This window comes from Homo sapiens, chromosome 3, assembly GCF_000001405.40.
Source record: "Homo sapiens chromosome 3, GRCh38.p14 Primary Assembly".
Taxonomy (NCBI): Eukaryota; Metazoa; Chordata; class Mammalia; order Primates; family Hominidae; genus Homo; species Homo sapiens.
In genome coordinates this window covers 94,643,811-94,656,270 of record NC_000003.12, presented here as the reverse complement: position 1 = coordinate 94,656,270, position 12,460 = coordinate 94,643,811, and the positions used below count along the sequence as shown (strand labels likewise).

The 12,460-nt window shown below is 40.0% G+C and overlaps 1 long non-coding RNA gene across 2 annotated transcripts; it reads right to left on the bottom strand.

Annotated features, from left to right (window-relative positions):
• Positions 1-331: 331 nt before the first annotated feature.
• On the bottom strand, positions 332-8,186 carry LOC105373992 (uncharacterized). 2 transcript variants are annotated; one of them, XR_924224.2, is made up of 3 exons: positions 8,127-8,186; positions 5,268-5,483; positions 332-472 (listed from the first exon to the last, which is right to left on the bottom strand). It is a non-coding gene; the product is annotated as an uncharacterized LOC105373992 (long non-coding RNA). The 2 variants fall into 2 exon arrangements; XR_924225.2 differs by having other exon boundaries at positions 5,268-5,449.

Sequence of the window (12,460 nt, the reverse complement as noted above, 5' to 3'; positions counted from 1 at the left end):
GTGCCATAATACTCAACAAGTAATCTACTTTGAGATTGAACTTTATCAAAAACTTCAGAAAATCCTTAGTTTTGTTAATGTATTTGAAAAATAATTTATATTATTACAATTTTATCATTCTACTGTTAAAACTTTCCACTTCTTTAAACTGAAAAACACTGGTACTCTCTGCTTGTTAGCAAGGAATGGTTGAGTGATGTTGCAGTTCTTTTTCTACTCTAAGTGTTTTGCCTTTGGTTGTATCTGCTTTTTCACCAATTGAATAAAAATAGGTACACCAGAGTATCTCTTCCATAACTAACCCTATTTCTCAGGTTGCATTGAGAAAGTGTTCAATTTTAACAATTTTATTATTAATATTTATCTTCATAGAACACTGTATTCATTGTGTCCAACTTCTCGGATTTCATGATTTATGGGTTCTCTGCACCACTCATTCTTTCATTCAATATATCCAGTGGTGTGAAGAATTCTGAAAATACAAAGATGAGAAAGTATTATGTTTGTTCACTCAAAATCTTAACTTCTAACAGAAGAGTGACTAACTATATTCAGCAAATTCATATAAAATTATAATATATATCTTATATAAAGAGTTGTGAGAGCACTGAGAAAGAACAATTAATTATGCCTAGAAAGTAATAAAGGAACTCTTCATAGCAGAGAAAGTAATTAATCTTTATATGGAAAGAATAACACATTGATCTTCACCAAGGAAATGGGGGAAAGGTGAGATAAATGGGAGGTACAAAAAGTCACACAACAGTCCGGTGTATGTATACTTGAGGAATTAACAGAAATACAGGCTGCCTTCAGGGTTATAAGTATCATAGAAATGAGAGCTGTGATGAAGTGAAATACCAGGCTAAGCAATTTGTTTTTTGGCATACAGAAAATATTAGTGAGACATTCAGTTTTGTATTTTAGAAATGTGAGTCTAAGAGGAATATGTAGACTAGATAATAGTGGAAAGAATGTATGTCAGGATGATAAGGCAATGCAAATATAGCATTACAGGAAAAAAATTAGAAAGAAAACTATTCTGAATTGTTTTATTTTCCAAAGGAAATTGGGAATGTGGATTAAAGATTGATGCAGATAACTTTTTCCATGTGATTTTTTTTCTACTGCCTATCTAGTACATTGTAGAATGATTATTGTATTAGTTGGTGTTTCCCAGGGAAACAGAACCAGTAAGATTAGATAGATAGATGATAGATGATAGATAGATAGATAAAGAGAAAGAGAGAGAGAGTATTAGCTTACATGAGTATGAAAGTTGAGAAGTCCCACAATCTGCAATAGGCAACCTGGAAACTCAGAAAAGCTGGTGGTATAGTTAGGGGTCCTGGGATCTGGAGAACCAATAGTATAGATTCCTGTTGCAGTCTAAAGGCCTGAGAACCAGGAATGCCGAGGGCAGGAGAAGACTGATGTTCCAGCTCAAGCAGCCAGGCATTGAAAGGGAAAACCCAGCCCTCATCCACCTTTTTGTTCTATTCAGTCCTTCAGTGAATTGGATGATGCCCAGCACACTGGGGCAGGCTAATCCTGCACCGGCAACCAAGTTATCCAGCTTCTCTCATCAGAACTAACTAGGTGGCTGGAGTGATCCACAGAGAGCAAGGAAGAGCAGTGCGGCGTGGTGGCCCATCTGAGAGCCACACAGAGCAGGGGAGCCCCGACCCCGCCAGCCAAGGGATGCAGTGAGTGAGCATGCTATCCTGCTGGGGAAACTGTGCTTTTTCCATGAAATAGTGCAACCCAAGAATCGGGAGATCCCACTCCCGAACCCATGCCACTGGGGCCTAAGGTTCCAACCCCAGAGCTGCACAGATTCTCAATAGCCTCTTAGCTAGAATCTGCTTAAGCCTGCTGAGTTCCTGGGGGGGGAGAAGTGACCAGCACCACAGCTGTAGCTGCCTGTAGTCTAAGCCATTTGAGCTCCTTGGGAAAAGGCCAGCAGCCAGCACTAAGGCTCATAACTGCCTAATACTCTAAGCTCCCTAGGTGGGGGAAGGGAGGTATCCATCTCTAAGCTCCAAGCCACGTTTTTCCCCTGTGGGAACCAGGGAAACTAGATGGCTTGGTCCCAAGAGGTACCTCCCACAGCCAAACACACTGGCTATGGTAGACTGTGGCCAGAGCACCTCTTCAGACATGACCCTGACCCATCTTTCTTCACTGGGTGGGGGTCTTTCCTCCTGGTAGTTCTGAAAAATTCAGGCAGCCTAAATGAGTGGGTTTCCCCCCAGCAGAGCACATCCCCTCCACCAAGAAACAGTCAAATTGCTTTGTTAAATGGGTCCTGTTTCCCGTGCCACCCATGTGGGTGAGATGTTCCAACAGAGGTTGTCAAACACCCTATACAGGAGCAATCCTACTGTCATAAGTTTGGTGCCCCTGGAGGTCAAAGATCCCAGAAGATGGAACAGGCTCCCATCTTTGCTGTTCTCCAGCCTCCCTGAGTGACATCTCCAGCCATGGGAGTGAACAAGATGAACAGGGCCTGAAGTGAACACCCAGCAAACCACAGCAGGCCTACAGAAGAGGAATCTGACCATTGAAAGAAAAACAAACAGAAAGCAACAACAACAGCATCATCAAAAACAAAATGTCCCCACAAAAATCCCATCCAAGGGTCAGCAACCTCAAAGATTGAAAGTAGACAAACTCATGAAGATGAGAAAGAATTAATGAAAACACACTGAAAACCCAAAAGGCCAGAGTACCCCTTCTCCTCCCAAAGATCGCAATGTCTCTCCAGCAAGGGCACAGCACTGGATGGAGGATGAGATGGACGAATTGACAGAAGTAGGCTTCAGAAGATGGGTAATAGAAAAACTCCGCTGTGCTAATGGAGCATGTTCTAACCCAATGCAAAGAAGCTAAGAACCTTAATAAAAGGTCAGAGGAGCTGCTAACTAGAATAACCAGTTCAGAGAGGAAAACAACTGACGTGATGGAGTTGAAAAACACACCACGAGAACTTCATGAAGCATACACAAGTATCACCAGCCAAATCGACCAAGTGGAAGAAAGGATATCAGAGTTTGAAGACCACCTTGCTGAAATAAGGCATGCATACAAGATTAGAGATAAAAGAATACAAAAGAACAAACAAAGCCTCTGAGAAATATGGGACTACGTGAAAAGAACCTACAATTGATTGGAATACCTGAAGGAATCAGGGAGAATGGAAACAAGCTGGAAAACACACTTCAGGATATTATCCAGGAGAACTCCTCCAACCTAGCAAGACAGGATAACATGCAAATTCAGGAAATACAGAGAACACCATTAAGATACTCCACAAGGAGGTCAACTCCAAGACACATAATTATCAGATTCTCTGTATTAGTCTGTTTTCATGGTACTGATAAAGAAATACCTGAGACTGGGAAGAAAAGGAGATTTAATTGGGCTTAGAGCTCCACATGGCTGGGGAGGCCTCAGAATCATGGTGGGAGTTGAAAGCCACTTCTTACATGGTGGAGGTAAGAGAAAAATGAGGAAGATGCAAAAGCAGAAATGCTTGATAAAATCATCAGATCTCATGAGATTTATTTATTACCATGAGAACAGTATGGGAGAAATTGCCCCCATGATTCAAATTATCTCCCACTGGGTCCCTCCCACAACATGTGGGAATTATGAGCATGTAATTCAAGATGAGATTTGGGTGGGGACACAGAGCCAAACTATATCATCCTGCTTCTGGCTCCTCCAAATCTCATGCCCTCACATTTCAAAACCAACCATGCCTTCCCAACAGTCCCCCAAAGTCTTAACTCATTTCAGCATTAACTCAAAATTCCACAGTCCAAAGTCTCATTTGAGATAAGGCAGAAGGGACTTCTGTTCTGCCTAGGAGCCTGTAAAATCAAAAGCAAGCTAGTTACTTCCTGGATGCAATGCTGGTACAGGTATTGGGTAAACACAGCCATTCCAAATGGGAGAAATAGGCCAAAGCAAAGGGGTTACAGCCCCATGAAAGTCTGAAATCCAACAGGCATTCAAATCTTAAAGCTCCAAAATGATCTCCTTTGACTCCATGTCTCACAAGCAGGTCATGCTGAAGCAAGTAGTGGGTACCCATGGTCTTGGGCAGCTCCTTCCCTGTGGCTTTGCAGGGTACAGCCTACCTCCCACTTGTTTTTATGGGCTGGCATTGAGTGTCTGTGACTTTTCCAGGCACATGATGCAAGACATCAGTGGATCTACCATTTTGGGATATGGAGGATGGTGGCAATCTTACAGCTTTGCCAGGTGGTGCTCCAGGAGGGACTCTGTATGGGGGGTACAACCCCATATTTCCCTTCCACATTGCCCTAGCAGAGGTTCTCCATGAGACCCCAATCCCTGCAGCAAATTTCTGCCTGGACATCCAAGCATTTCCATACATCTGAAATCTAGCTGGAGGTTCCCAAACCTCAATTCTTGAGTTCTCTGCACTCGCAGGCTCAATGCCACATGGAAGGTGCCAATTCTTGGGGATTGCACCCTCAGAAGCCATGGCCCAGGCTCTTTGGCCCCTTTCAGACAGGGCTGGAATGGCTGGCATGCAGGGCAACAAGTCACTAGGCTGCACATGTTATGGGGAACCTGGGTGCGGCCCACAAAACCATGTTCTCTTAGGACTGTGGGTCTGTGATTGAATGGGCTGCTATGAAGATCTCTGACATGCCCTGGGGACATTTGCCCCATTGTCTTGGGGATTAATGTAAAATCAGAGTAGAATTGAAGGAGACAGAGATACAAAAAGCCCTCCAAAAAATCAATGCATCTGGGAGCTGTTTTTTGAAAAAATTAACAAAATAGATAGACTGCTAGCTAGACTAATAAAGAAGAAAAGAGAGAAGAATCAAATAGACATATTAAAAAATGATAAAGGGAATATCACCACTGATGCCACAGAAAAACAAACAACCATCAGAGAATACTATAAACACCTCTATGAAAATAAACTAGAGCATCTGGAAGAAATGGATAAATTCCTGGACACATACGCCCTCCCAAGACTAAACCAGGAAGAAGTCAAATCCCTGAATAGGCCAATAACAAGCTGGGAAATGGATCATCTACAGAACCAGGCATCCAAATACTATCATTAACATAGACCTGATAGGCACGTCCATCCATGTCATGGATCAAATAAGAGAGGGAAAAGGAATATAGGCCCAATATGTATAGTTTTTAACAGTCTGTTGGGTGACAGAGGGTAGAAGGATCAGTGTCATCAGGAGGAGGCAGAGGCTGAGCCAGACCTGGATCTGCAGAGACAAGTTGTTCAGGATGGCTGACTGGATTGTCTGTTGTAAAGGAGTTAGCATGGTCACTTTCTTCTTTTTGATGATTGGATGTGTTAGTTGTTTCTTGCTGTGGTGCTTTTTCAGCAAATTTCTCTGTCTTGTTGTTGTATGCATTTTCAGGACATAATTTCAGGTGTCTAGCAGGAATCCAAACAGGAGATTGATATTCACCTGGGGAAACACAAGCATAGCCTCTTCCCCACGTTAAAATAGAACCTTTTGACCATATATTAGATTGAACATCTTTCCACCATACTTCCCTTCCTTGGTTTACCCTGGGGCAGTTACCAGAGAAATGTTTTTCTGGCATTAGTATGAGTGAGTTGACGAAATTGTTCTGCATCTGTAATGGCTAGAGAAACTAGAGTATCAACTTTATGATTACCACTGGATAAATGTCCAAGCAAGTTAGTATGAGAACAAATGTGAGTGATGAAAAAAAGGGTGGTTTCGGTTTCTGACAGTTTTTTGTAATAAAGAGAACAAGGAAAACAGATTAGTGTCAGCAATATTTTTGACGGTAGCTGTTTCTATTGCCTTAGTGGCATGGACTACATAAGCTGAGTCAGAGACAATATTAAGAGGCTGATCAAAATCCTGTAATGCAGAGATAACAGCAAACAACTCGGCTTTTTGAGCAGAAGTGTATGGAGTAGAAATGACTTTATCTTTTGGTCCTACATACCCTGCCTTTCCATTACTTGATCCATCAGTAAAAATGGTAACGGCTGTCTCTGGTGGTGATGAATGTGTAAGTTTTGGTAGAATCCAGGAAGTATTTCTTAGAAATTGAAAGAATTTTGACTTAGGTAAATGATTATCAATAGTGCCAACGAAGTCAGCCAGATTAGTCTGCCAGCACAAAGATGTAGAAAAGGCATGTTTGACTTCATTTTTTGACAAAGGGACCACAATAATGTTTGGATCAAAGCCAGAAATTTTAGTGATACATTGACGTCCTAACCCAATCAAAGTGGCTATTTGATCAATATATATTGAAAGAGTTTTAAGGGCTGAATTAGGAAGAAATACACATTCAACTAGAGAATCATTTTGTACTATAAGTCCTGTAGGAGAGTGGATGGAAGGAAAAACTAAAAATTGTAAAGGCAAATTTGTGTCAATATGAGAGACTTGTGCCTCTCTCACTCGTTGTTCTACAAAAGACAACTCTTGTTTTCCTGGCTCAGATAGACAGCGAGGACTGTTTAAATATGTATCTCCTGATAAAGTGGCAAATAGATGAGATAATGCATAAGTAGGGATGCCTAGGGTTGGTCTGAGGTAATTGATGTCACCTAGTAATTTTTGAAAATCATTTAAGGTGTTTAAATTGTCAGTACAAAGTTGGACTTTTTGGGGCTTAATGGAGTGAGCTTCTAGCTGCATTCCTAAGTACAGAAAGGAGTGGCTTGTTGAATTTTGTCAGGAGCAATGTGGAGTCCTGCTTTGGCAACAGCTAATTTTAAAAAGGTAAAACACTGAATTAATTCATCTTTAGTGGGGGCAGCAATCGGTATATCATCCATATAATGAAAAATGTAATTATTTTTAAAAGTCTGTCAGATAGGTTGTAACACAGTACTGACAAACAACTGACAAATAGTAGGACTGTTAATCATTCCTTGAGGTAAAACTTTCCATTCATATCTAGCTGCAGGAGCTGAATTGTTAGTGGAAGGTATAGTAAAAGCAAATTTTTCACAGTCTGACTTGTCTAAAGGAATATGAAAAAAGCAGTCCTTAAGGTCAATGATAATTAAAGGCCATTCTTTAGGAATCATGGAAGGGGAGGGCATACTGGGTTGTAATGCCCCCATAGGTTTAATAACTGCATTAACAGCTCTTAAGTCTGTTACCATCCTCCATTTTCCTGACCTTTTTTGTACAACAAACACATGTGAGTTCCATGGAGACAAGGAGGGCTCAATAGTGTTTACTTGTAGTAAATCATTAACAATTTCAATTAAAGCCTCCAACTTGTGTTTGGAAAGTGGCCACTACTCTACCCAAACAGGTGACTCACACATCTATTGTGAAGGGGCAGAGGAAAAGAGAGAAAGAGAGTGAGCATGCCGGGACGTGGACTGGGGGGAAGCAGGATTCCAAACCTCTGAAATAAGGGGTCCTGGAGCCTCAAAAGAAACAGTAGGCTTAGAAGAGGGGAGAGGTCCAAAAGGATGAGAGGAATGAGAAACAGCCGATTCAGATGAATGCCACACATCCTCCTCTGGCAGAGGGGACAACGGCTTGGTAGAAGAAGAGTTAATATATACAGGTTCCAAGATAGGAGGTGGAGGGAGGGGATCAACACCAGGTTCCTCCTCTTGGGGAGAAAACAAGGAGAGATCGAATTCTTCTTCATCATCAGAAGGAGGACTAGTAGGGGGGTCAGCTACCCAAGGTAAAGGGAATGGTTCACCAACCACCTTAACTTCTGGCATTTGAAGAGTATCACCAGACTGAAAAGGAAGTAAAGCAACACGAATAAGAGCCCAGTCAGTCCAAACAGAAATAGGATGTAAAACACCAACTCTCATGAGTTGGCGGAGAGTGGCGCCAACTCTATCCCAGTCTAACAGGTCCATAGAATCTTTGTCAGGGAACCAAGGACAATGTTTTTCAATAGTCTGAAATAAGAGAATAAGGTTATTGGAATCAGCCTTGATTCTACCCTGTTTAAGAAGAAGTTTAATAAAAGACAGATAAGCCTGGTGTTTAAACTGCAATTGTCCCATAATAACCCTGGAATATTACCAGTCAACAAACCTGAAAAGAGGGGAGCATTGGAAAAAGTGTACCCAGAGACCTTACTGTCGAGACTGAAGACTAGTCATCACGAACCCGCACTCAGAGTGCACTGAGCCCAGGAACAAAGAAGGCCACGTTGGGTGCCAAATATTGCAGGATCTGGCCAGCAGCCCACAATGCAACGGGGCTCTCTCTTTGTTCCTAGGTGGGTTGGCAGGTTGAGAAACAATAGACACACACAAGATAGTGAAAACTGGGTCCAGGGGATGTCACTGCTTTCTGGTCCTGCAGTGTCAACAATGCACTGGATATACCAGGATTTATCATTAAGTTTAGTGAGGGCGAGGGTAGGTTAGGGAGGGATTTAGGGTCATTTGATTATAAGGTGAGATGGTCACATGGGGATGAAGTAATTCTTTAACATAACGTCTGTATGCAGAAGTACAGTATACAGGGATAAGAATTTACAATATAGTGTGTGTATCAGCAATTTCTAACAGAGCCTTAAAACAGAAACACAGTCTTTCCATAACCTATGATTAGCAAGATATTAACCAGCAGTAACAGTTGCAGCAAAAGCTGGTTACAAACAATCCATAGAAACAGGACATGAAGCTAGACAACCAGTTAGACCAGAAATTCTCAGAAGGGTGTATACCTTAACCCTAAAGAGGCCTAGAAGAGCCATGGCAAGATGAGGGCATTTATAGTCCTATCTTATCCATATGGACAGGTGCCCCCGCCCCATGCATCCATTTATAGGCTCTCCACAAGGGTTGACTTCCATTCCCAGAGCTATGAACATCTGCTTTTCTGGGATAGGACTCTTGGTGATGTGAAATCCCCCAGACTGCACGCCCATTCATAGGCTCTCTGCAGGGGGAAGCACATTACACACTGTTGACTCATTCTGGCAGTCCAACCTGGCATTGTCTTTACACAATCTTGCATGCAATTTTGTATTTACAATAATCAGGAGCATTTCATCTTTTATTCCATAGCAATAGTTTCGGGGGGGGTCTCCCTACAAAAGATAAAGATCTCAAATGCATAAGAAAGACAGATAACCAATAAAGGAACAACTATAAAGCCAAAAGTGTGATTCCAAAAAAAAAAACTAGAAAATAATAAATGATAGAATGTATTCAATGCTTAAAATATGTAAGGCATGTAACAAGTAGAAATGTTAATTCTGTTAATCCTATGAAACAGGTATTATTAATACAATACTAATTTTACAAATGAAGAGGGTAAATGATGAAAAGCTTTGGTAATTAACCCAACATTCCTCAGATACTAAAACATAAGTCTAGATTTGTGTCAAAAAAGTTAAGCACCAGTGTCCAGACTCTAAATTATTATTCTCTCCTCTTTCTCCTGGAGATCAAAATGAAAGCTGATTGAAAATAATTGCCATCCCAACTTTCTAAACAGTGTTTCAAGAACAAAGCAAATAAAACACGTTTTTGTGGCAAAAAAAAAAAAAAAAAACTGAAGAAACCTGAGTGTCGATGAACACTCAGAAAAGAAAGAGCTAAGAAACTAATTTTAAGAAAATTAATCTAGTAGAAATATATTTCTTAAAAAGCTAATCAATAAAATATTGAATACTAGTATATTTACACATTATTTACACAAAGTAATAATAATAAAAATATTTGATTTAATGGAGTTCTAAAGGGGAGCTAAATGCTAGATAGTAGTAGTCCCTCATCTTGGAATGATAAGGAGAGAGAGGTTCTTGTGATCTGAGTTAATACCTTTCAGAAACCTTATGTTGATTAGAATATAAGATACTGATTAACTTTTTATTGCATAAATCTTGGTAAAGCAGAAATAGAGGATTTATCTTGAATAGCTGTATAGAGAAAATAAAATTAAAAATAAAATTGAATTACTCAAAAAATACAATAACTGAGAAATAATAATGCTTAATATGTGCAAAACTCAAAATATGATAGTGAAAAATATATCTATCAGTACCTGTTGTAGGCCAACAAGTTTGTACGCCCACTGCATAATAACACACCAATGCACCAAGACAGCAGGTTTTGCAGCAGACAAAAATCCTCAAATATGTTGCCCCAGATAGCCTTGGACTTGGGATTTTTAAGCAGATCGTGGAGGTTGAGGAACTGTAAAATTTGGGTTATTGATTTGTCAAGGTAAAGGGTATGAAATCATCAGGATGTGGAGACTGCATTGTTTGATGAGTCAGCTTCTAATGGGGTCTTGCAGAACAGCTAATGTTTCACTGACACACAGGACCTAAAGAATATCTCAAAGAGTAAACTCAATGTTGTATAATGTTTAAGTTGTTATCTAAAGAGGAGTTAAGGGGAACTATAATCTAGGGACTACATGATTCTAAAACAATAGGCACCAAACGACTACGAAAAAGCAAGTAAGAGAACAAGCTGACCTAATGATTAACAATGAATGTGCTGGAAATTTGGTTTATTTTTGTTTCTCCTTCACCCTCCTTTCTTGAATACTTTTATAAAGTTTATTGGGACAGTTTCATAATTACAATAAACAGAAGTAGTTTGTGTTGAATGAAATTTGATGCAGTTTTTTTGCTAACTCTACCCATCAAGAGAGAGAATTTACTTCTCTATTTTTTGAATCTGGCTGACCTTGGTACTTGCAGCTGAAGTGACATTGTGTTATTTCTAAGCAAGGAATCAAGAGGTCTTGCAGTTTCCATTCTCACTCTCTTGCTGCCCTGGGATCTCCCTGTGAAGTTTTTTTTTTTTTTTTTTTTTTTTTTTTTGAGACGGAGTCTCACTCTGTCGCCCAGGCCGGACTGCAGACTGCAGTGGCGCAATCTCGGCTCACTGCAAGCTCCGCTTCCCGGGTTCACGCCATTCTCCTGCCTCAGCCTCCCGAGTAGCTGGGACTACAGGCGCCCGCCACCGCGTCCGGCTAATTTTTTGTATTTTTAGTAGAGACGGGGTTTCACCTTGTTAGCCAGGATGGTCTCGATCTCCTGACCTCATGATCCACCCGCCTCGGCCTCCCAAAGTGCTGGGATTAGAGGCGTGAGCCACCGCGCCCGGCCCCTGTGAAGATTTTCTAGTGACCCAGCCTGATGATGAAAGACCACAAAGACAGAGAGGACCATTTTTATGGATAAAGGAAATCACCAAATCATGATTGAAAAAAAAATTCTTTGGGAAGTTATCACAATTCTAAACACATATGAAACCAATAAATTGAAAATAGTCTTGGAATTCAAAGAATTATTGTAAAATAATTCATAATAGCAGGAGCTTTAACACATCACCTTTAAAATATCAATCAGACAACAGACAAAATATTACTTATCAAGGATGACCATTTTCTGGTGTTCACCAGTACAGCTGCACCACTTTATCACAGCTTATATGTATTCAAATGATTCATATATTCCATAATGTTTATAAATTATTTGATATCACTTCCATTAGCAAAGTGGTAAATGTTTTCTAATAATATACTAACAATCTTTATTAAATGAAAATATAAAACCCTGTACCTTAAATATAGATAATGCATTTTTCTTAAGCATAAATAGAACATTTTAATAAAAATTGCTCATGTATTTGTCACAAAGAAAATCTCAACAAGCTAAAAGATTGCTGCCATATAGATTATACTTGCTAATTACAATGAAATTAAGTTAGATATCTGTAGTAGAAACATAACCAGGCAATGAAACAAACAGTGGATATTTAAAAATTTTAGAAATGTAGGATCCAAAGAAGAAACATTAAGGACAATTTTAATATTGTTAGATGAAAAAATTCTAAATATATTGGAGAAATTTTATTGAAATCTAAATAATAATGTCTATTACTTTTTTTAAAAAATACAAATATATTTATACCTTACATTTATAAAAATGAATTCTAAGTAGAATTAAGTACTATATATAAAAACAGCTGTGACAATTAGAAGAAAATATCTTGTGACTTCAGATAAAAAAAGTATTCCTTAAAGTATTGGCATTCAGAAAATTTTTTTGATAGGGGTCATTATGGTGGATGGGTGGCAGAACTAGATTGCAGCTCCAGACAGAGCAGCGTGTAGAGGCTCGCATTGTGAATTTTAGCTCCAGATCGACTGCAAGAACAAATGAGCAATCCCAAGAGGACCCACAAATCCTCTGAAGGAAATGGACTGCTCCTGCAGGACCCAGGAGACACCCCAAATACTGTAGTGATCCAACTATGGAAGTGGGAAAGGGAGACCCCCCTCTCCTGAACACACACCCCCACTGGAGAAACTGAAGGCCTGTTTGCAGGAGAAGTTTTTGACTTTACCTGGAGCTCAGTCAATTTAGAGAGCTGAGCAAAATACAAGGGTAGAGGAGGCAGTAGAAAGGCCCTTGGGGTAAAACTCAACAGGGAGAAGGA